The sequence below is a fragment of the Homo sapiens genome, chromosome 3 (assembly GCF_000001405.40).
Source record: "Homo sapiens chromosome 3, GRCh38.p14 Primary Assembly".
Classification (NCBI taxonomy): Eukaryota; Metazoa; Chordata; class Mammalia; order Primates; family Hominidae; genus Homo; species Homo sapiens.
The window spans coordinates 113,555,293-113,580,958 of NC_000003.12; the positions used below are offsets into that span (position 1 = coordinate 113,555,293).

Below are 25,666 nucleotides of genomic sequence, written 5' to 3' on the forward strand. Positions count from 1 at the left end.
CTTGAATGTCAATATAATGGCTTGCTCATTGGCATCCTGTTTGCAAACTTCTGATGTCAAAGAGAAGAGTGCTATGTCTACACTGCTGATTAATGTATCTCCTGTGTCCAGAACAATGCCTCTTACAGGATAGGGAGTCAAACATTTATTGATTGAACAAAGTTCATCATAAAGTAGCTAGAATCTGACTGTGCATTTTTCTGTATTCTTGGCCTGCCAATGATTATCCTTCTCCTCAATGTTTTTCCATGTTTTTATTGAATTGAATATTTTAATATAAAATCTAGATTATAAACAAAAGGATGAAGGCTTATATGATTATATTTATTCTAGTTTATTGTTGGGCATAATGAAATTGGCTAGATGAGGTCTGGAAACTGCTTCTTTCTGGAAAAGTGCTCTGAGTACAAAATGCCGAGAATTTAAAAGTAAAGGGAATAAACAGCTCCCAAGGAATAAACTTCACTTTTCAATGAGATGAATGAGCTCTTCCAGGCTAGCTGGAAGCCAGGCTGTGAAAAGAAATTAATATCCTACATAAGACGGACTATATAATCTTTTTTTTTTTTTTTTTTGCCCGGGGTGATTGGGCTTATAAGTGTGTCTCCACACACAGGAAACAGACAGTCAATAACTGATTGACCAATGAATGGATGGGAATGGAAACAGCTCTGCCTTCTGCACTCCCTGGTGCTCTTTGAAGTCACAAAACACAGACCCACATCATCCACCATTTGATGGATGAAGCTGCCCAGGGAGATAGGTAGTCTGGTGTTACTGTTTCCATTCTACAATTGAAGAAACCGAGGGCGAGATAATTTAAGTGATTTGTCCAAGGCCTCCTAGCTAGTAGGTGTTAGTGCCCAAAATAAAATCTAGGTCTATATATCTTTCTTTATTATGCCATAAATGTACAGAAGATAGTTTTAAAGGCTGAATCAGACCACAGGAATTTTTAAACAGTCACATCAATAACTATAGAAATTATTTTCATGCTTATCTTTTTTTAAAAAGTGTAACTTGTGATGGAAGTAGCTCAGCTCCCTGCAGTAGTTATGAAAAGCTTGGGATGAAACGCTCCATATAATGAGAATTACTAACTTCTGATAAGAAAGGGATTCAGGACTGCAGAGCTGCTTTGCTCAGGGGCAGCTGTTTTTATACAACGGTCACTGGACTCTCCTAGAAGTCCCATCTTCGCTCAGCCAGCTGTAACATGCAATCCCATGAAGAGTCTTGGCAGTGCTAAAAAGTAGATTGAAGCACAATGAGAATTTAAAGAGTGTATTTGACCAAACAGAGATTCATCAATCAGGCAGCTCCAAACCAGAAGTGGTTTCCTGGGCTCAGCCAAGGGAACACAAGGGGAAGGCTTTGATAGGGTGAAAATAGAAATGAAGATAAGAAAATATTTTATTAGTTACAGTTACACAACTGCCTGACTTGGTTTATCCTGCTGGAAAGTTCCTAGTTACAGAGCTGTAAGTTAGTCTGTGGCTTCTGATTGGTATGCCCTAAGTTTCTTTTTCTTTTTTTTTTTTTTTTGAAATAGAGTCTGGCTCTGTCACCCAGGCTGGAGTGCAGTGGCAGGATCTCGCCTCACCGCAATCTCCACCTCCTGGGTTCAAGCCATTCTCCTGTCTCAGCCTTCCGAGTAGCTGGGTCTACAGGTGCCCACCACCACGCCCAGCTAATTTTTGTATTTTTAGTAGAGGCGGGTTTCACCATATTGGTCAGGCTGGTCTCGACCTCAGGTGATCCACCCACCTCCTCCCAAAGTGCTGGAATTACAGGCGTGAGCCAAGGCGCCCGTAATCCCAGCTTATGTTTGCAAGTCGAGCAAGGTTCAGCACATTTATGAGGCCTAACTGGCTTTGTCTGCTCAGGAATTCTTTAGGCCTGGCCTCCATGTTAATTCACTTTAACAGCAAGTAAGTAAAAGCTGAAGATAAGATGACAGTAAGGGAAAGGTAGAGTTTTGGAGAATGAGTCATTGCTTTAAAATCCTACAAACCTAATATTATGGGTTGATTTGTTTTCCCAAAAATATATGTTGAGGTCCTAACCCCTAGAACCTATCAATGTGACCTTACTTGGAAGTATCATCTTTGCAGTTGTGACCAAGTTAAGATGCAGTTATTAGGGCCCCAATCCAATGACTGAAATACTTATAAGAAGAGGGAAATTTGGACACAGGCACACACAGAGAATAGCATGTGAAGACAGAGACACACAGAGGGGGCACCATGTAACAACAGAGGCAGAGAAGGGAGTGATTAGCAAACAGTGATTCACCCACTAAGGAATGCCAAGGGTTCATGGACACCACCAGAAGGCAGGAAGAGGCAAGGAAGTTTTCTATCCAGAGGAAGGTCTCAGAGGGAGCATGGCCCAGCTAACACCTTGATTCCAGACTTCTAGTCTGAAGAACTGTGAAAGAATAACTTTCTGTTGTTTCAAGCCACCTACTTTGTGGTACCTTGTTACGGCATCCTAGGAAACTAACCTGATGACACAGAATCAAGCCTTGCACATTACTGTTCAATGTAATACCAACTTCACCTGGGTCCCCTGGCTATATTTCTTTTCCAGGGCAGAGAAATGGAGAAATGAGCTATGTGAATGAGGTCAAAGACAATGCAAAGTTCTGTAGCTGACTGAGACCTAAAGAGAGGCAGTTAGTGCTTCTTCAGCACCACATCTTGAAATATAGTTTCCATTTGCATATGAGAGACAGAAAGAGAGAGAGACAGACAGACAGAGAGAGAGGGGGATCTGATCTATGAAATTAGAGTAAGTGTAGACCATGGCAAATGAGCCAGGAGAGCAATGAGAATATGTTTTGGGTTCTGCCACACCTGTGAGTAACAAGGAGCCTTTATAAAATGAGGGTTGTCACTCAGAACTGGGCAAACACAAAGGCCAGCACATCATGGCTTCTTTTTTATTATTACTAGGAAACATTCTAGACATTTAAACAAGTATAGAAAATAATGTAACAAGCATGTATGTGTCTCATACTCAGCTTAAGAAATAAAAGGATAATTTGTTTCCTGTTTTTTCTCACCCTGATCCTCTTCCTCCATCCCCAAAAGTGACCATTTTGGGGAGGCAGTCCTTCATAGGTTCTTTTGATTTCTGCACATCTTACAGGAAGGCACCAACTGAAGTTTTTTAAATGCTATCATTTCAAGGATATTTGCATAGCAAACAGCCTCAGAAAGCAAACAATGTCTCCTCGTGGAGTAAAGGAAAGACAGACTTACTGCCTGTTATGAAAGACTTGGGTTTTCTAAGCTCAGGGTTCCTCTCCTGTAGTGCAACACCCTGCATATAGGTAGGTATCCATCTGGACCCATCCATGTCACCTTCATAGTACTTGGGGACCAGAAGAAGTGAAGCTAATGCTGCTTACCCTAATAAGAGTCATTAAATTGTTTGTTTCCAACCCAGGAGACTTGTGTCTTCTCCCAGTATCGATGACGCTGTGGCAAAGGGGTAAAGTCTCAGATCCTTCCAAGTTCTTGAAATCCATTATTTTAAATTTGATGTTTATCATTTCTGAGTATATATATTTTACTGAAGATGTACAAATAAAAATACTGTATTGTTTTCCTTGTTTACAAAGTTAAATAAATGAGAAAATTAAGTATGTTTCCTTCAGCAACCTGCTCCTCTCAATTTATCTTCTTGAGATTTATCCATACTGATCCACATTTCAGTTCATTTACTTTTAACCACTGTGTAGCATTTCATTGCATGAATATAATTTATCTCTTCATACTTCTATTATTTAATTTGGTTGTCATTCAGGTTGTTTCCAAATTTTATTGTTGCAACCAATGCTTGCAGTGAACATTCTTGTTTATGACTCCTTGTACATATGCAAGAATTTTCTTGTGCCTAAACTTAGTCATGGAAATGCTTAAATGTAATGTGAACTCATCTTCAACTGTAGTAGATATTGGCAACTTGCTGACTGAAGTCATTGCACCAACTAACATTTTCATTAGCAATATGCAAATTTCTATTTCTCTACATGTTGCAAACATGGTATTGTCAATACCTGTGAGGCTTTACCTTTCTGATGAGTGTAAGTGCTGAATATCTTTTTACAGGTTCTTTGGTCATTCTTTTTATTTATTTTTTTTTTTTTTTATTTTTTGAGACAGGGTTTTCACTCCCATTGCCCAGGCTGCAGTGTAGTGGCCCAATCTGGGCTCACTGCAACCTCTGCATCCTGGGCTCAAACAATGCTCCTGCCTCAGCCTTCTGAGTGGCTGGGACTACAGGAGCACGCCACTACACCCAGCTAATTTTTGTATTTTTTAAATAGAGACAGAGGTTTTACCATGTTGCTTAGGCTGGTTTCGAACTCCTGAGCTCAAGGGTTCCACACAACTCAGCCTCCCAAAGTGCTGGGATTACAGGCGTGAGCTACCACACCTGGCCTGGTCATTCTGTTTATATCCTTAACCCACTTTTTCCATTGGTGGTGGTTTTTTTCTTATGCGTTTTAAGGGTCCTTATATATTCAAGATACTGATATTTTGTCTGTTTTACATGTACAAACATCCCTAGTCTGTGGCTTGTCTCTTCCCCTCCTGTATGGTGTTTATATAGCTTCTTCATTTCATAGTAGAATAATAGATGATCCAGAGTTGGGTACAGTGGAGCCAAAGATTCAAAATAGTGATGGCAGCATATTCTGACCAAGCATTGCATGGGGATTGGAGCACAGGCTTGGGTTCTAGTCATGATTGTTCCATCGCTGAGTATCCTTGGAGAGGTGCCATCATGTCTATCTCAGGCTCCTCCTCTGTACGTGGGATGGTTGGAGTAGATGGTCTCCCTAAGCGCCTTCCCAGATGTAAGGTTTTCTAACACTACGAGTGGAGGTCTTATGCATCAAGCAGGCAATGGCAGGACCTATGTGGAAGAGCCCAACTTGTAGGAAGCCTGTGCTGCTTCCCTGATTCCCCCTGGGGGTAATCACGTTGTCCTCTGTGTACCCACAGTACTTGCTCAAATTGCTACCATCATACTCATCACATTATGCAGTTATTGGTGCTTTTTCCATTTGTCTTTCTGACTAGATTGCGAGCCTCCTCGAGGGCACAGTTGCCTTTAGAATATCCCCAGCACCTCCCACAGCTCCTGACTCAGGGCAAATCCTCAGTAAATGTTTGATGGATGAGAGTGGGAGCATGGGAAAGATGGGAGGGAGGGAGCGAGGAGGAGCTGTAGAGGTACACCCAGCGAACACAACCAAACACAGCACAGTTACTCAAACAGTTAAACATTTGAAAAAAGGACCATCAGCAGATACTGTTGTAGCTGTTTTACAAGTGGAGTCAGTTTTCCAAGATCATACGGGAAAACAGTGGTGTATTGAATAATGGAAATCAATAATCTCTGATTCTTAATCTAATATTCCAAATAATAGAGGCTATAGTCTCATTATTTTAGCAAAAATAAACTAGATTTTTGAATTGAATTCATTTCCATTCTTTTATGGAACAGAAATATATTCCTTATAATTTTGAACCTTTCCCTACTGACATGCTGAAAGATTGAAAAGAGAGTCTCTAAGCTTTAAGACCTTTCATAACTGTGATCTATATAATATCAGAGATGGAAGTACTTAAATAAATCTCTCTTAGCTAGCTATAATTCAATTTCCTGCTTGTAGTAAACACAGGAAACAGACAAGATTTATGCAATAAAAGTGTTCTTGTTGTCATGACAACAGGAAAAAGCAACAAGAGGAAAAATCTTAGCTCTTAGGAATGGCCTTTCACAAGGTGTCAGGGCCCATTAAGCATGGTCAATACCCTGTCCTTCATTTAGTTTTGCCTTTACACAGCTTTCTTCGCTGCTGCAAATGTGATCCAATTTTCTCAGCTGCATATTAGCCTCAGGAAAGGCAAAGCAAATTTTGATCAGGGCTCTTTATCCTTTCCTGGGGGTAATCCACTATCTGTTCATCTTGAAAAACTGCCCAATGTCTTCTATCTCCTACTCTAATATATTTTTCGCAATTTATTATGCCAGTATCTCTGAGTTTGTTTTTATTATGACTAGTAAGAACATTATTAAATAATACAAAGGTAAGTGGATTGCGAAAGCCAGGCCAGGAATAAAATGAGGATGTGGAGATGAACAGTGAAGTGGGGTAATCATGGCAGTGATACATCTGTTCTGCCAGCCCAGTGTCAGCCTCAAGAAACACCAGCTTCCAGACCAACTCTAACATTAGTGATCTCATGGATGTACATCTCAGAATAATGGGCAGTTGGCGAGTTGCTGACAAATGGAGTTATCCATTAGATGGTTTCTTTGGAACTATCCTTCCCAAAGTCTAGTCCCCATCCATGTACATCAGAATCCCCCAGCAGCTTGCTAAAAATTTATATTTTTAAGTTCTATTCTTGATCTGCCAAGTCAGAAACGCTGGGGGTTGACTTGAGGGATTTGCTTTGCTAAAAAGCACACTAAAATTTGAAAATCTTTGCCTTAGATCAAAGTGTGAAAAAAAGATGGAAGGAAATCCCATCTGACATTAAGTACTTAAGAAGGGAGGAGGAGGTTGCATCTTAGGTGAAAAAAGGGAGGCAGACAAACTCCTTAGGTTTTATCTCAGTTCTGACTGCTATAGCTTTTAAGCCAGACCAAAGTGTGCTCTAAAAACACATGCTATATAATGCTGGTGAGTGTCTGTATTACAGCCTCAAAAGTGAGTCTGCTTCTAAGCTAATGCATTCTGCCAGGCACCAAGGATGCCAAAGATGAAGTCTGCAGCTTCCTAGAAGAGCCAGGCAGGTAAACTAGCAGTTTAAATATCATGTGGTCCACAATGAGATGCAACTTTACACCCACTAGGATGGCTATATTCAAAAAAAAAAGATAGTGACAAGTGTTGGCAAGGATGTAGAGAAACTGGAGCCCTTATATATTGCTTGCTAGGTAAATTACTGGAATGTAAAATGATGTAACTCTTTGGAAAACATTTTGGTAGTTCCACAAAAAGTGAAACATAGAGTTACCATGTCTCCCAGCAATTCTACTCATAGGCATATGCCCAAAAGAATTGAAAATATACATTCATACAAAAATTTGTATACAAATGTTCACAGCAACATTGTTTATAATAGCTAAAAAGTTAAAACAACCCAAATGTCCATCAACTGAAGAATGGATAAACAGGATGTGGTATGTGCATGCAATGTAATATTATTTAGTAATAAAAAGGAATGAAGTACTGATACATGCTACAACATGAATGAACCTTCAAAACATTATGCTAAGGAAATAAGCTGGATAGAGAAGGATACATTATTCCATTTATTTGAAATATAGGCAAATCCATAAAGACAGAAATAAGGTTAGTGGTTTCCAGGGACTGGGGGAAGGAAGGAATGAGGAGTGACTGCCAATGAGTACAGGTTTCTTTTCGGGGTGAGAAAAATATTAGAATTAGACATTGGTGATGGTCCCACAACTTGGTGAATATATTAAAAACTACTGAATTATGCACTTTAAAAGAATGAATTGTGTGATGTATGAATTATATTTCAATTTAAGTGATAAAAGAAATGGCCAAGAAAAAGTAATAAAGTTGACTACATTTTTAGGTTGCTATATGTGGTAGAGATACCATATAGAGGTAATCAGAGGCCACACAGCACACCCGCAAAAGGGAGGGACACCACTTATTTAGTGGGGTAGGAAAATGTTAGGGAAGACTTCCCAAAGGAAGACTTTAAGAATGAGCAAGATATCCAAGGCCAGTCAACACTGGGGACATAACCCTTTTGAGAAACAGTAATTGGACATGACAAGACAGTGGATCTGTTGGTAGGCAAAGAAACTAGAGACGAAGGCACAGAAGACATCAAGAAGAGGCTTGAGGGATTCAACTCCGTGGAGAAAAGGCGAACTTTTAAGTAAGTGATGTTGGGATAACTGGAGAGCCAAATGAAGCAAAGACAAAATTGCAATCACTCCTTATACCACATATGAGTATTGATTGCAAACGGATTAGAGGTTTAAATAATTTTTTTAGGATGAAACCATAAAATACTAAAAGAAAATAGGAGCAAATTCTTCAGTAACCAGGAATGGTGAAAACTTCCTTGACTATGACTCAAAATTCAGGAAAAAGATTGAGAAATTTGACGACTTGAATCTAATGAAGCCTCTAGATCTAACTACCAGTTTGCAGGCAATACAGGAGATCAACAAAACCTGTTCAATGACACTGCGGGGTGCAATCCGTAAAATCCGGAACGTGGGTTCTTCTACAGATTTGTATTGCTGTTTTGTGAGCTGCTTTCTTTAACAAACAAGTGTTCCCAAAAAGGAGAGAGAAGTACCCTTTACATTAAAAGAGACTCAAAAGACATATGAACCAAATACAATGTATGGGTCTTGTTTGTGCCCAATTTTTTTTAACTGGAAAAAAATTTTGAAACAATTGAAAAAATTCAAACACTATGTGGATGTTAGTAATTTTTAGGATTATTAATTTTATCAAGTGGCATAATGGTGTTGTATTTAAGTTCAAAAGAGAAGGCTTCGTGACTTAGAGATATAGACTGAACTGTGGTGCAGATAAATGATACGATCTTTGGTGTGTACTTCTTTTTCTTTTTTTTTTGTTTTGTTTTTTTGAGATGGAGTTTCACTCTTTGTTGCCCAGGCTGGAATGCAATGGCATGATCTCAGCTCACCGCAACCTCTGCCTCCTGGGTTCAAGCGATTCTCCTGCCTCAGCCTCCCGAGTAGCTGTGATTACGGGCATGCGCCACCACGCCCAGCTAATTTTGTACTTTTAATAAAGACTGGGTATCTCCATGTTGGTCAGGCTGGTCTCAAACTCAGGTGATCCACCCACCTCGGCCTCCGAAAGTGCTGGGATTACAGGCGTGAGCCGCCGTGCCTGGCCTGGTGTGTACTTTCAAATAATCCAGTGGTGGGGGTGTATGGGAAATAGGAGGTATAAATGAAATAAAATACATTTGTTAACAATTATTAAAACTGGATGATAAGTACATGAGCACTCATTATATTATTCTTGTTACTTTGGGGTAAATCTGAAAATTCTTCAGAGCCACTGAAGGCTTTTTCAACAGGGGAATGAGGAATGACAGATGAAACTGCCCTTCTAGCAAGTACAGCCCTGGAGTCGGAAGACTAGACAGCGGGCTGCCAAGGAGGGTCACTGTGATGCAGGACTGAGCTATGAGAGTGTCACTGGGGGCGGAGGGGAGGATCTGGGTGTGAACAGTATTAAGGAGATAGAAGCAAAGGAGCTAAAGAAGCAGGAATCAAGGATGAATCTCCAGTTTCAGGCTTACATGAATGGCTGCATGGTGGGGCCATTCAACATTCAAGGGAATTCAGAAGAAATTAAAGTTAGGAGTGAAGGGAGTGATCAATTCCATTTCAGACGCTTTGAGTGTGAGGTGCCTGTGGAAGACTCAGAGCTCGAGAAAGAGATCTCGCTAGAGATATGGTGGCAATTTTCAGCTGCAGCATAATTTCCATGGAAACATGTAGAGTGTAGGCACAAGAAAACTCTCCCTTCAGGGCAAGCACTTCCTATCAAATTAGTAAGTTACTCTTGGGCTATTTTAACATTTAAAAAGCAATGCAGTGGCTTAAGGAAAATGATATGAGAACCAAATGGCAATATATGACATCTATGCTATTCTGTTTCCTCCTAATTTCCATTTTGAATGTGCGATAGATCATTAGGGCTTAATTGCAGGATTTTCTTGTTTCATTTTCTTTCTCCTAATAAAGAAGTTTTCAAGAGAATACTAAGGCATTAGAAAAACAAAATCTCATGTGGAAGATTAAATTTTGTTGTTGTTGTTGTTGTTGCTTTTACCCTATCTCTCTTCTATTTTGTTCTCTTACATGTTGCCTATGGTATTATAAGAATTGAAAGAAGGCCAGGCGCAGTGGCTCACACCTGTAATCCCAGCACTTTGGGAGGCTGAGGCGGGCAGATCACTGGAGGTCAGCAGTTCGAGACCAGCCTGGCCAACATGGTGAAACCCCATCTCTACTAAAAATACAAAAATTAGCCAGGCATGGTGGTGCACACCTGTAATCCCAGCTACTTGGGAGGCTGAGGCACGAGGATTCCTTGAACCTGGGAGGTTGCAGTGAGCCAAGATCATGCCACTGCACTCCAGCCTAGGCAGCAGAGGGAGACTCTGTCTCAAGAAAGAAAAAAAAAGAGAGAGAGGAAGAAAACACCAACACTATCTAAATCCAAAGTTACATTCACTTTCCTGTCTTTAAAATAACCATAATAGGGTTAAATTATTGGGTTGATATGTGTGTATTCAGAAAGACCCATAGTGTTACTGATATAAAAAAGCATTTTGTGTCAAGGATTGATTTATACCTTAGAGCAAGGGAAAGAGAAGATTACTCAGCCCTGTGATGTCTGTTCTGGGGAAGCGTCATGATTTATTGTTGGTGGGAACATCAGGCCATCTGTTAGGCTTTAATAAAATGTGGTCATAACATTTTGATTTGAAACACAGAATGATTTACCAACCCAAAATTGAAGTTTTTCAGCAATTGAAGTTCTCATGGGATTTGTTTTTGAGGGAGGGTGGCTTTGTGTGTGTTGTTTTATTTTTAGATATTTGTATCTTTAGCATTTATATTCAAATAAGAAGAAAAGCACATCCGTATCCTTCTTTTTCTGTTCTGGGTTCATTCTCAAAATCTTGTGTTGCCTGCTCCGTTCAAACTCCTCAGCTTGCTGTTTGAAGACTTTATAATTTGGTCTCATCTAAAATTAACTGAATCAGAATTTTGGCAGGTTGGATTTAGGCATCATTTTAAAAAATTCTCCCCACGCAATTTCAATGTGCAATCAAGGTTGAGACCCACTCTGGTTACAATATGAATGAGGAGAAACAACTGGGGCATTTGGATTACCTATCATGAGAAGCAAATATCAGAAATTAAAGTGTTTCTGAGCCTCACATGGCAACTATGGTGTGTGTGTTTGTGTGTGTTTGTGTGTGTGTGTGTGTGTGTGTGTGTTTGCATGTGTGCATGTGCACGTTTTGCATTACCTCTTTCTACCCTGCCATGCAGGTGACAGCCGTGAGGGTGTATGTGAACAGTTCCTCTGAGAATCTCAACTACCCGGTCCTTGTTGTGGTTCGCCAGCAGAAAGAGGTGCTGTCCTGGCAGGTTCCTCTGCTCTTCCAAGGACTGTAAGTGGGTTTTCTTCCAGGCAACTTCACTATGTTTAGTTTTCTTCAATGTCCTAGAACTTAATTGGTCTTTTCCCTATTGAAAGGAAAAATCAGACATTTGGAATGTCAAGACATTCTGCATACGGGGTGCAAATAATGATCATGGTGCATGCCCTGACCTGTTCGCTCTGTTCAATTATTAGATGAGCACTCTACCTAGATTGGCCACACCTAGAAGAGCTTTTACCATTTTAAAAACATACCGTGATCCTCTGTAGCTTTGGGGTACTGGGTCAACCAATAGCCCTCCAATGGGCTATGTCTAGCAGTTAACATAAGTGAGTAACTCTTCCCTTGTTCTTCAAAATGCCCATCGTGTGTTTGCATTCTTCATTCAATAATATTTATTGAGCCCTATTAAGTGTTGGGTGCTGGAGACACAGCAGTGGAAAAACAACAAAGTGCCTGCCCTCCTCGAGTTTCTATTTTTTCAGGGGAGAAGTGTATAAGATACTACTGCACTAATAAAAAAAACTTGGAAGGCATGCAAAATGGACACATAACATTCTTTTTAAAGGTTGAAGAACTCGAGGACTGAAATACTAACTCTGTTAGCTTTGACTTGGACTCAGGGCTTTCTTTACTCTCTACTTTAGCAGTAGCTTGAAGAGATGAAAATGGAATCAGCTGGTTGTTTTATCATGACAGTTTCCCCATCAAATTGGATATTTATTCCTCATTGAATTAGGAGAATGGCTTAGCGTAATGTAGATACCGCTTAAGTGAACTAGTCAGCACAGAACAGTCCTCACATCCCTGTTATTATATCATACAACCCAATGCCAACAACACTAGTTCTAAAATTACTATTGATAGTTCCAGTCTAAAATTCAAAACATAAGGACCTGAAAATGAATTTGGAGAGAAGCAAAATGAGATAGGCTCCTTTCCCTGCTCATTCACTGAGTCCCTTTCTTGTCCTTGTTTATTTTTTTCCCCTATATTGGCTGCTTCAGATACCAGAGGAGCTACAACTATCAAGAAGTGAGCCGCACCTTATGTCCCTCAGAAGCAACCAATGAGACGGGACCCTTGCAGCAACTGATATTTGTAGATGTCGCATCCATGGCACCCCTGGGTGCTCAGTACAAACTGCTAGTTACCAAGCTGAAGCACTTCCAGCTCCGGTAAGCGGGACTTTCTCTGTTTACCTGTCTGTGTTTCCTGTGCTTGTGGATGCTCAATTCATCTTCCATCCTTACAGACTGGTACTCTGGAAGGAAATTATCCACTTAGCATATGATTTTAGCACTTCCTGAACTCTCCTGCCCATAACTGAGCAGCAGGGCCTTAATCTATACAAAAGAGTGGGAGTGCAGAAGGTAAGAGTGGTTGACCTCACAGGTGAATCTGTTTTCAGGGATCAGTGTGAGGAACCTGTCCAGCCTGAAGTATAGGCAAGAATGACTGGTGACTAAATACTTTTGTATTCCCAACCAGTGCCACACTCTTGAAGGAAGTTTTATTTTAGTTCTAGGGAAGACATTAAGCTATTTTTCTTGTCCTTATTATTACTCCTGTTTTCTCCTTCCAGGTTAGTAACATAGGTAGGAATGTGGCTTTGTCCTTTCTTGGTGTGACTAGTATTATTTTCCCCCTGTTTTTAAAAAACTAAAATAAACAGGCAAGCTCATCAAAAAAATAATCATGAGATTTGGACACTTCACTAAAGAAGCTACCCAAATAGTCAAAAAAACACAACCTCATTAGCTATAAGAAATGTAAATTAAGGCCGGGTGTGGTGGCTCACTCCTGTAATCCTAGCACTTTGGGAGGCCGAGGAGGTGGATCACGAGGTCAGGAGATCGAGACCATCCTGGCTAACACAGTGAAACCCCATCTCTACTAAAAATACAAAAAATTAGCCAGGCACGGTGGCGGGCACCTGTAATCCCAGCTACTCGGGAGGCTGAGGCAGGAGAATGGCATGAACCTGGGAGGCGGAGCTTGCAGTGAGCCGAGATCGCGCCACTGCACCCCAGCCTGGGCAACACAGCAAGACTCTGTCTCAAAAAAAAAAAAGAAAAGAAAAGAAAAGAAAAGAAAAAAAACAGAAATGTAAATTAAAACCATAATGTGATTCCATTACAACTACCAAATTGCTATAATTTGAAAGGCCTACATTCCACTCCTTTGATGTATACCCAACTCCTAGATATCTCATTGTGGTATTCATTCAGTGGGATACTACACAAAAATAACAATGAACAAACTATTGCTATACCCAACAACATGGATACATCTCACAATGTTGAGAAAAAGAAGCCAGGCCAGGTGCGGTGGCTCACGCCTGTGATCCCAGCACTTTGGGAGGCCACAGCAGGTGGATCACCTGAGGTCAGGAGAGCGAGACCAGCCTGACCAACATGGTGAAACCCCTCTGTGCTAGAAATACAAAAAAAAAAAATTAGCTGGGCATGGTGGCAGGCGCCTGTTGTCCCAGCTAATCCGGAGGCTGAGGCAGGAGAATGCTTGAGCCTGGGAGGTGGAGGTTGCAGTGAGCCGAGATCATGCCAATGCACTCCAGCCTGGGTGAAGGAGTGAGACTCCCTCTCAAAAAAAAAAAAAAAAAAAAAGGAAGCCAGACAAAAGAAATGTATGCTATTTTATTCCATTTATATAAAATTTAAAGGCAGGCAAAACTATTCTGTGATGCTGGAAGTCAGAATAGTGGTACCTTTGGGGAGGAGAGAAGTACATGGCTATGTTTGACGATAATTTATTCAAATATATGCTTATAACTGCACACTTTTCTATAATACATGTTTGTTATATTTCAATTAAAAAGTTAATTTTTTAAAAAATCGGAATATTTCAAAATCGTATATGTCACTGTTTTGCAGCTTATTTTTCTGATCAGAAAGTTTGGTTCTACAGTAAAGTTCTCCTTAAATTTAAGGCAGTTTATAAAAACATCTGTAGCCAGTAGAGTTGCTAATAGGACTCAAATATTTATCTTGGTCCTCTCTACCCTCCTTGACATAGTGTTATACCCATACGGAAACGTGGACAGATAAATGAATGAGTGGTCAGAAGGATGGAGAAGGAGTCACAGCATTTTTTCTCAAGTCCCTCCATTAATCCTGGTGTTGAAAAAGGTGACATGATAATTTTAAGAGCAAAGGACACTCTATCCTCCACAAGAACAAGGAGAAAAAGATTCTCTGGTGAATAAGATCCACCCAGAGCAATTAAATCAGAGGCTGTAGGGGAGAGGTTTGGGCACTGGTAAAGTGTTTAAAGTTCCCCAGGTGTTTCTAACATGCAGCCAGTGTTGCGAACCACTACCCTAAAATGATTTCTAAATATGGTGCTTCAGTTTAATTTAATATATATTTTTTGAGACCGAGTCTTGCTGTATCACCAGGCTGGAGTGCAATGGCATGATCTTGGTTCACTGCAACCTCCACCTCCTGGGTTCAAGCGATTCTTGTGCCTCAGCCTCCCAAGTAGCTGGGATTACAGGTGTGTGCCACCATGCCCGGCTAATTTTTGTATTTTTAGTAGAGACGGATTTGACCATGTTGCCCAGACTGGTCTCGAACCCCTGGGCTCAAGCGATCCACCCGCCTCGGCCTCCCAAAGTGCTGGTATTACAGGCATGAGCAACTGTGCCTGGCCTAATTTAATAATTTAAAAATCTACTTGTGATATTTATCCATATGGGAATACACATTTGATGGGAGTTACACATTTGATGGGAGTGATAACGTGTTACAGTACTTGCACAGAGTGCAGTTTGAACTGCAGAGAAGCCTTGCCTTTATCAACTGATCTCTGTCTTTAATCAATCAATCAAGTGTCACCTGGTAGCAGTGGCAGTGTCACTTGGTGGTAGCATATTTGAATTGTAGGAATGGTCTTCTGTAAGGTTATTAGAACCTTTTGAGAACTGAATTCTGTGAAAATAAAGTCATAAGGTCACAACTGTAGCGAGTGTTAATGAATTATTTGCACGCTGGTGAAACTGCAAATCTATTCCCTCATGTTGCTTTCTGTTTTTACCTCATAATATGACTTAGCCTCAGCAACCAGACTTTAAGAGCATTTCAAAATCACTATTTACACACCAGCCTTGCTGGTAACCTGGAACCAGAGGATGATGGTAATGAGGAAGAGCTGAGGATTGTGATGAGAACTGGGCTCAGGCATTGAGAGAAACACTGAAGAAGTAATTCGAAATCTCTAAGATTGAAGTTTCTATTGTATGTTTTTGAGTGGCAGCCTATAATGTATATGGAACACATTTTGGGAACTTTTTTCCCCTAGAATCATACATTTTAAGAACTGAAGGATCTTTGGGAATCTAATCCACCTGCCTCATTTTTACAGATGAGCAAACTGATGCCCAGAGAAGTTAAGTGACTTGTTCAAATTCACACAGCTAGGAAAGGGCAAAATCAAGACTAAATTGTACTTCTGACTCCCAGTTCTGCGCTCTTCTCGCCATAATGAACTATTTCTACTTTCTAGTTAAAACTGTCCTCCCAATTGTTTGTGTTTCTCTAAATATGTCTCTCAATTCCATGAAACATTTATTTAAATCCAACTTTACTAGCAGAGCACAGTGGCTCCCGCCTGTAATTCCAGCTACTCAGGAGGCTGAGGCAGGAGGATGACTTAAGGCCAGGAGTTCAAGACTGGCCTAGGCAACATAGTCTCTAAAAAAATAAAAACCAAAAAAATTAGCCAGACATGATGGTGTGTGCCTGTAGATCCAGTTACTCAGGAGGTTGAGGCAAGAGGACTGATTGAGCCCAGGAGTTTGTGCTGCTGTGAGCCATGATTGTGCCACTGCACTCTAGGCTGAGCAACAAAATGAGACCCCATCTCTGCAAAATTCCTTTAAAATTGAAACAACTCTACTTTAAAGCATTGCTTGGTGCCATCTACCTATCCTCTGCACACACACACACACACACACACATAAACTGTGCCACTACTCTTTTTCTACACTCCAGTGCCCAGGTGTTTAGTATTGCTAGAGTGTGAAATTGCAGGCAGGCAACAGCAGATGGCTACAGAAACAGGCAAGCCTGTGATCATGGCATAGGAGGATCTTAAGAAGGGGCATTAGGAAATTTAAACGTCTGTAATCCCAGCACTTTGGGAGACCAAGGCGGGCAGATCACCTGAGGTCAGGAGTTCAAGACAAACCTGGCCAATATGGTGAAACTCCGTCTCTACTAAAAAATTCAAAAACTAGCTGGGCATGGTGGTGCACACCTGTAATCCCAGCTACCTGGGGGGCTGAGGCAGGAGAATCACTTGAACCCAGGAGGCAGAGGTTTCAGTGAGCTGAGATTGCACCACTGTACTCCAGCCTGGGCCATAGAGCAAGACTCCGTCTCACACACACACAAAAAAAATTAAACAGTTGTCTATATTGTGATAGTTGTGTGGAGAATGGATTTGAAGAGGACAAAACAGGATGCAGAGAAGTTAGAAGGCTGATGCAGTAGTCAAGATAAATAATGAGGAGGTGAATTGAAATATTAGGAGAGGTGAAATTGCTGAAATTTTATTAGATATGAGGGGAAAAAGAAAAGAGAGAGTCAATAATGCCAGTGTAGCTTGTAGATGGTGGGGCCACTAAGAGAAAATGAGAATTTTGATAAGAAAAAGAACAGATGATAACTTCACTTTGGGACAGGTTGGGTTTGAAATACAGATATCTGGCAAAGTGATGGATGTATACTAACATGACACTTAGGGGAGAGCTCTGAGTTACAGTTAGGCAGACTAGTGCAGTCTTCAGGAACACATCAAGAAGCCTGGTCCACATGATGCCTGGGCAAGACAGGGTTACAGGAGATAGGGCTGGAGAAACAGGCAGTGCCCAACTTTGATCTTTAAGATGTTGGATGCTAGACTATGGAGTAGAACTTCGTCTTTCAGATTATGGGAGCCATTAAAGGATTGTGAGCAACAGGATAGCATTCAGAGATCTGATTTCTAGAGATGACATGAGTGGCAGTGTGGAAGAGGAATTACAGAGATGAAAGATGAGGGACAAACAGGCAAATGAAAAGTTATCTGAATGGAGAAGAAAGAAAAATGATTAGAACTTGAATGTGTATGGCAGCAACAAGGTTGTAAGGGAGAAAACGAGTCAAATAGTACACATGGAGATAATTCATAATTCAGCAAATATATGTGGCAGAATAAAATTTATAGTCCTCCATGAATACTTGCAGCCTTCAGCCCTCCTCTAGCCTTCTAAGTAGGGATCTTGAGTCTGTTTTAAGAGGAGAGAGTGTGTGAGTGAGATAGCTCAGCTACTATGCTGTGAAAAGTAATAGATTTTTTGAAGAAATGGGTGGATAAGAGAATTTTAGACCATTTTGCTATGTGTCATACTATATAATTACCTTTGGTATTTTGGAGGAGACTACAATAAAGATTTACATTCCTTTTTTTTTTTTTCTCTCTTAATGATGCTGTACTGAGCAAACATGGTGCTCCAGGTGGTGGCAGGTTACTTTTACACTAATAGAATGAGTAGGACCTGGTGATTAATCAAATGTGGAAAGCGATAGAAAGGGGGTAGTCCAACATGACTCCTACAGTGATGTCAGAAGTCTGGTGAGGTTTACTGACAAAGGGACATAGTAGGTCAGGATCAGGGAAGTGACAGCACATTCCCTTTTATCATGTGGAGTTTGAGGTGTTCAAGGGATGGTCAAGTGCAGAAGCCCAGCAGGGGATCACTATTCTGTGACTGGGGCTCAGGAGATGGCCCTGGGCTGGACACAGGGACTTGAGATTCACTGGCATTATTGTGGTATTTACAGCAGCTGGATACACATTGTAAAACGAGTTGATCAAGAACAAGGCTGTGGGTAACATTCTCATTTAAGGGATGATCTGAGAAACTGAAGCTATCATAAGGGGCTGAGTAGACACAGCCAGAGGTGTGGGAGAAATCCCTGGGGGTTAAGTCACTGGATTTAGCGATTAGATAGTGCTATGGTCTCAATGTTTACTTTCCCCAAAATTCATATTGAAATCTCCACAGTGATGGTACTTGGAGGTGGGGCCTTTGGGAGATGATTAGGTCGTGAGAGTGGAGCCCTTGTGAATGGGATTAATACCTTTATGAAAGAGTCCCCAGAAAGGCCCTCTGTCCTTTACACCACATGAGGATGCAGTGAGAAGGCACCATCTATGAGGAAGCAGGCTCTCATCAGACACCTTGATCTTGAACCTGCTAGCCTGTAAAACTGTAAGAAATAATAGATTTCCATTCTTTATAAGTCACCGAGTTGACAGTATTTTTGTTATAGCTGCCTGAATAGGCTAAGACAGGAGGTGACTCTTACCCTTAGCAAAGGAAATTTCAAGGGCGTGGTGGAGAAAGAATCCTGATAGCAGTGGGTGGAGGAAAGAATGAAAGAGAGATAAACATGGAATACTCCTAGAAGCAGCTGGTTTGTGAAGAGAGGAAGGACATAGGATGACATTAAAGGATGGCGATCCAGGGAAAAGGGAGGCATTTGGGTGGGGTGTTTGTTATTTGTTTTGAAAATGGTTGAGACTAGAATATATTTATAAACAAAGAGGTAGAAAGGCAGATTAAATTCATAGGAGAGTTGGATATTTGTAGATGCAAAGTGCCAGAGAATGATAGAAAGAATGAGAATTAAGTACATGAGTGCGGAGTTTATACTTAGACCAGAGGAATGAAGGGCAGACAGTTCCCAATGACAAGAAGGTCGGTGGGAAAGCTACAGTCCTGAAGGGAGTTCATAGCAGATGGCAGAAGGAGATAACAGGGAATGATATTCTGAAGTTCATAGTTCAAGTGAATAATAGGATATCATTTCCTTCAACAAACAAAGGAGGGGCTTTGAATGCACACTGTGCTCTGTGCTAGGGGCTTGTTAATCAAGATGAGTAAGGTGCTGTGAATCTCACAGTCCTCTCTGGTGCTCACCTCAAAAACTACTGAAAGTTTGTCCTGCCTCTCTTTCTATGTAGTCTTTTGTCCCATCCCTTTTCTTTTTCTTCTACTTGATTACTCTCCTCTCTGTATTTCTTCTCCCTCTCTCTACCCCCGACCCATGGGCCCCTTTCTGCCTCTTCTCCTGACTCCCCTATCTGCACCCCCATCTCTCAAGTCCATGGGTTTCTTCTCCCTTCTCCCTTTTCTTGAAATAGCCAGCACAAGGAAACAAAATTGTTTTTTAGCCTCTTATGTTTAACAAATAAACATAACATAAACATGTTAAAATGTGTTTAATTTTTAAAACAAATCAGTTGAAATTTTTATACTTCTTTCTCTAAAACTAACAATCCATGAGCTTCAGTTAGCTTTGTTCTGTTGTCAATGACCCCTAACAAAATAAACCCTCCCCACCTCTGTTAGGGTTCATGTGGAAGGAAGCAGAATATTTCATCTGCAACAGATACAATGTTTATTTTGCACATACTGCCGACTCCATGAGAAAGAGAGGACATAAATGGTAGTCTTAAACACAGTAACATGTTTTACAAGTTTGCATGCATTGTACTAGCAAATAAAACATAAAGAACAAGAAAAAACAGAAAGTGAATATCAAATCTTCATACATTTAGTATTATGACTGAAACTCAAATGATGGGGAAAATTAAAATCTCTGGCAAAAAAATATGGGTTTCTTCTGCAAATTTCATGCTGTCATGAGGAACCGATGGACTTGAAAGATCAGGGTGCAGACAAGAGAGTAAGGAGAAGTCATGTCGCCAGCCAAGAAAATCATGTCTTCTTTGTTCTCTGATCTGGCAACAAAGAATTGAAGGTCTCATGTTGCCCTGGTAACACCGGGAGACACTCCCAGACTGCTGAAAGGGCTCTACCCAGCCCACACAAAGTGTCACAGGTCCAAACTCTGGCCAAGGACTCTCTGGAGCAGAAACATAACTGGGTTTGACACTCACTTTAGCTTCTTTAGGCGACTTAAGGACAGAAGTTTTCAGTTCTGCTTCAGAAGAACCAATCCTCAACATTGATTATGATTTCTGTTGCAAGTAGATATATAAAAATTACATCTATTGTTGCGAGCTAAATTCTGAGCCCAGCCTGATGACAGCCTAAATTGTGGTCATTACCTTTATAAATAGTGCTCAAATTTTATGACTTCTAAATAACACCTCTATAATTATACACCTCTTGCTTAAATGTCTTGAAATGTCCTTTCTAAAGAAATCATTACTTTTAAAACAGGTATTTAATTTTTATGAAAGAAAAATTAGAGTGGAAAGAAAAAAATCTTCAGAGAGCCCCAGGGGGTGGAGCTGATGAGAAATCCCAGAAGTTCAAGTTCAGATGCCCAGAAATGCAGGGCACATTGGAGGGGCAGGGGCACGCACTCCCAGGTGCAGCGTTTCAGCAGCCTGGGGATCTGAGACTGCTGTGGACTTGTGTGCATGATCTTCATGGCTAATGATGAGGCAACAGCCAGAAAGAGAAAAAGCCCAAAGTAGTCCTTATAAAACTATAGAGAAGACCACATTTGTCTTTGTGACAAACACTTGAACTGTTTCACAGATGCTCACAGCAGACAGCCCTCTATACTACCAATTTATGCTTCCTAACTCTTCACACTCTCCTTTCTTCAGTGCCTAGATCATTGCTGTCTTACATGGAAGAATGAAAGTATCTAATAATGTAATTCACAGTAAATTACCAATTGAAGAGAAAAAAACCTCATTATATTCTTTTGGTGGTATTTATGTTTTAAAGGAGGGTCTTGGAAGGCAATGCCTAACCTAAACGGAACTAAATCTTGGGGAATTTCAGCCAACGTGGCAGGCAATCGGGGAGCTATTAGGGGATAGTAAGGGCCTGCTTCTGTCCCTAGGCACCATCCCATGTGGTTATCTATTCACTGTGTTTGGTAAAAGGTGACCCATTTTGCCATGGGTCTATCAAAATTATTTTGAAATGTATCTACATTATCCAAAAGGACCTTGAACCTGGGTTTCCCCTCTCTTTCAGCCCACTTCTGTTACCTAAACCCTGTGCTTGATTGTAAAATCAAGCACAAGAGAGTCCCAAGGCAAAAGTGGCTACAAAAGTAAATAAACTACCTTATATAGATATGGCTTCATGGATATTTAAAGATATAAAAATAATAATCCCCTTTCCCAGTTTGGTCATTCTTGAGAGTTGAAACCACCAAGTCCCCATGCAGTCTACTTTGTCAGTTTCACGGAACCGGAACTCCCCTCACCAAGGGTGAAGCTCTCCTTGAGTCTACTTTAAGATGGCTTTCTTTTAAATAAATAATTTTTGCTCACTAACTTATGCTTTTCTCTCACTTTTCCCCTTTCCCTTCTGCCACTTACGTTTCTCAGGACAAATGTTGCCTTTCACTTTACTGCCAGCCCCTCTCAACCTCAGGTAAGTGAAGGGGTTCCAAGAGTTATCAACATCCTACCTGTTGGTGTTGCCTGCCTGTTAGTGAAACCATGTTACCCTGGTAGAGTTAGCGTGTGGTGTTGCCCTTGACCTTTCACAACTTGAAGTATATTTGTATTCCACTTTATTCCTTGTGTTACTGGAATTTTGGACACAATATTTAATCATATCACCTTAATTGGTATAAAATGGGTGGCATGCTATTTGTTTTCAGGTGTTCATTGGTTCAATCCTCACTGAGAAAATCGTGTGCCCACTATGCACCAAGAACATTGTTAGACTGCACCTGGTGCTGGAGGCACAAAGGTTAAGAACGGAGAGACACAACTTCTGCCATTATGAACCTGATAGCTGGGAAGTGGTAGTGGGGATAGGTAGTAAAAGGCTGACACCAAACAGATACACAAATAATTAATTGACCTGGAAATACAACGAAAATAAGACATTTTAATGTTTACAATGTTATAAGTGTAGTAAATTAGTTTCTCCTCTCATAAAGAAAGAGCCAGAATTTTGACAAAAAACATCAGGAGAATTAGATATTTGTGTTGTGCTCTCCATTAAACCATAACCACAAATAGAATAAATACATGAAAACTTGGATTAAGTCAGGCTGTTTTTCTGGTGTCATTTCTAGCTACCTTCCTTTTTTCTTTCATAAGCTTCTGAAGACAAAACTCTATATAATAGCATGTTCGAAACAAGTTTATTTGTTGTACATTTTCTTTAGTCCATAATATAGCTTTGGTCATAAATAGCTACTTAGGTTTTGCTTTGGAGTAGTAAAACTGGGATTAACATGGACTTGTTGTAAATATACTACTGCGGTGCTGGTAAATAGTTAAGAACTGGTTCTCAGAGAGAAAGCCCTGATTTGTAGCATTTGCCCATTTCTGTGGTGTAAATACCTCCACTGTGGCTGATTTTAAGCTCCCATTGTGATGTCACTGAACAGCTGGGAAGTGACTAATGCACAATCAGCTCTCCCAAGCCTGAATGAACCAACTCCAATCCACTTTTAAACTTCCTGTCTGTGAAAGTCTCTGCAACGCATGTATACTGCCACCCAGTGGCAGGAGAGGGCCAAAGGCCCTTAATATACTGCCCTCAATATTTATTGACTATTTAATTTCAAGAAATATTTTAAAAGCACTAATTACTAGGTGCAAAGAGAGAAACCTAAAGTAGAAGGGGAATAGGCCGGGCGCGATGGCTCACGCCTATAATCCCAGCACTTTGGGAGGCTGAGGCGGGCAGATCACGAGGTCAGGAGATCGAGACCATCCTGGCTAACACGGTGAAACGTCGTCTCTACTAAAAAAATACAAAAAATTACCCGGGCATGGTGGCGGGCGCCTGTGGTCCCAGCTACTCGGGAGGCTGAGGCAGGAGAATGGCGTGAACCCGGGAGGCGGAGCTTGCAGTGAGCCAAGATTGAGCCACTGCACTCCAGCCTGGGCGACAGAGCGAGACTCTGTCTCAAAAAAAAAAAAAAAAAGAAGAGGAATAACTTTCACTCTAACTACAGGAACTGTATAGTCTAACAGTCCTGTACAGAGCTATAATAAATATGATATACTGATCAGGTGTGGTGGCTTGCACCTGTAATCCCAACACTTTGGGAGGCTGAGGCAGAAGTATTGCTTGAGGCCAAGAGTTCAAGACCAGCCTGGGCAACATAGCAAGACCCTGTCTCTACAAAAACCTAAAAAATAAAAAATTAGCCGGGTATGGTAGCTTGCATCTGTAGTTTTGACTTCTCAGGAGGCTGAGGCAGAAGGATCACTTGAGCCCAGGAGGTCAAGACTACAGTGATACATGATTGTGCCATTGCACCCTAGCCTGGGTGACAGCGTGAGACCCTATCTCTGAAAAAAAAATTTAAATAATTTGTATTTAAACCCCAAAATGGAGTAAAATATACTTAGAACAAACTAATAAAACAAAACAAGTTCCTTGATATCTACGAAAGGTTTACTTTACTCTTAACTAGTCTCATTTTCACCTATATTTTGTATCCTCTTTGATTACAGGAAATATTTTCTTTTTCTATAAACTCACCCAAACGGTTGCACATTCTCAGATAACCTGTGTCAATCACTGTTTGCCTCTATTCCAGGAGTTAGAAGCAGGTTGCAGAAACTGGGGAGGTAGCCAGGACCCAGATAGTGATTTTTCAGCCTAAATTCCAGCCACTGCTTTGGGTATTTGTCGTTCGCTTCTTTCTGGTAAAGGTAGATTGTCAGGCAGGGGTCAAAAACATTTATTTGGGGTTTATGGTAATTTGCAGATAAAGTTGTTAATACTTTCAGTGGGTGTTTACTGCTTGCACAAAACCAATTACTAGCATATATGGGAACATATATGAGGCTCATTATTGCCAACAGTAATCATAGTAATGCTCTTGAGTTACACAGTATGGGTTTCCTGGGAAACAAGAACACTCTTGGAAATTCCATGCTCCTCATCTTTTGAAGAGCCCTGTATTATATGTATTTGAGTCAAGCTCCAAAATTAAGTGGGTTCTTGGGGGTATTGCCATCTGTTATAAGATGTGAATAGACTTCCAACTGTATCATTAATGACACTCTTTAATTCTGAGATAATTTTTCCCCATCAGAAAGCTTTGGATTATTAAAAAGGATTCCATTTTTATTGTCCTGGTACTCAAAATAGGGTTAGGAGAAAAGATGTTGAAATACAAAGTTAAGTTTTAACTTGTTTTGCCTCTCTGTACATGATAGATTTATTAGAGTCTTCACTGGGAGCCTGTTTCGGTTGCTTTTCTCAAAATCTTAATCATAGGCTTAATATAACTTCTCAATCAGTTATCGTATTTTATAATTATTTGGCAGAATTCCCCTTTCTTCATCATTAAGGACAAGTTTACAACTTAGAGTTAATACATTTTTCCAGTGGATTCATAATCTACATGGGTAAATAGTACAACCTCTTTCAATTAAAAATGTTTCCTAATTCTGGTGTTACTTGAAAAACACTTTTAAAAGATACCTCAGCCTGCCCGCAATTGTGAATGTATTTCTGGGGACTCCACATGGGGCTTGGTCTTTGAATCTCTGTATGTTCTCACTATATTCCAGCCAGCAACAAGTTTCTTGATCAAAAGGGCAAGGGGGAGGATGAGTCTAGTGCTAATTCTTGCCTATGGGAAGGTGGTTAAAATTATTGAGGAACAGGCTTATCTGCTTTTCAATATGGAATTTTCGTATGTCACATTGACCACACAGAAAGAAGTGAATCTTATCACATGTTATATCTCACTTACCCTTAATTTAAAGGGGGCAGGATGCTTCTTAAACAGGAAACAAACTAAAGTATAGCAAAGTTTAGTTGAGAAATAAATGACTATTTCTTTTACCCTAGAAAAAGGAATAGCAACATTGCATAAAATGGCTGTTTTGTCTTATTTACTGCTATATTCTTAATGCCTGGCACAGAGCCCTGCGCAGATTTAGTTTCTCAATATGTATGAGATGAAGAGCTGACTGAATTCATTAATGGAGATTCACGGAGATTTACGTATAAATTTTGTGCCTAATAGTAGAGGAAACAATCCCATTCATGTAAATATAAATCATGTCTTTCTTTTTCTTATTCTCAGTATTTTCTATACAAGTTTCCCAAAGACGTGGACTCAGTTATCATTAAAGTGGTGTCTGAAATGGCTTATCCATGTTCTGTTGTCTCAGTCCAGAATATCATGGTGAGTGCTGATAACTTGCCAACCTTCTACTATAGAGCATTATATTATTCCAGAACAAATGAAAGAGAAGGGTGGAAGCATGCCATCCTCTTACTGTGTATCTCCCTTCCAAAACTACTAAACAATACGAACAGTATCTGTGAGCACGAGTGGGCAGACTGTGTTTGCAGACACTAATTTGGAGTGGTAAAGAATAGTTAACTCTTCACCAAAATCAACAAAGCAAAGAAGGAAAGGAGGGAGGAAGCA

The 25,666-nt window shown here is 40.4% G+C and overlaps 1 protein-coding gene across 29 annotated transcripts in view; it reads left to right on the plus strand.

The window, feature by feature from the left end:
- Positions 1–25,666, plus strand: part of SIDT1 (SID1 transmembrane family member 1) — a 104,557-nt gene that overhangs the window by 22,738 nt on the left and 56,153 nt on the right. For 18 of the 29 annotated variants that reach the window (NR_136282.2, NR_136283.2, NR_136281.2 and 15 more), the window contains exons 2-5: positions 11,128–11,249; positions 12,248–12,418; positions 21,630–21,675; positions 25,316–25,417. Coding sequence is in view for 21 of the 29 variants with exons in the window: in XM_047448376.1 (XP_047304332.1) it covers positions 11,128–11,249; positions 12,248–12,418; positions 21,630–21,675; positions 25,316–25,417 (441 nt within the window). In the remaining 8 variants the exon portion in view is untranslated. Of the gene's footprint in view, positions 1–9,946; positions 10,027–11,127; positions 11,250–12,247; positions 12,419–21,629; positions 21,676–25,315; positions 25,418–25,666 lie in introns of those variants that run through there. The other 11 variants (NR_136284.2, NR_136285.2, NM_001322300.2 and 8 more) reach the window with 4 other exon arrangements.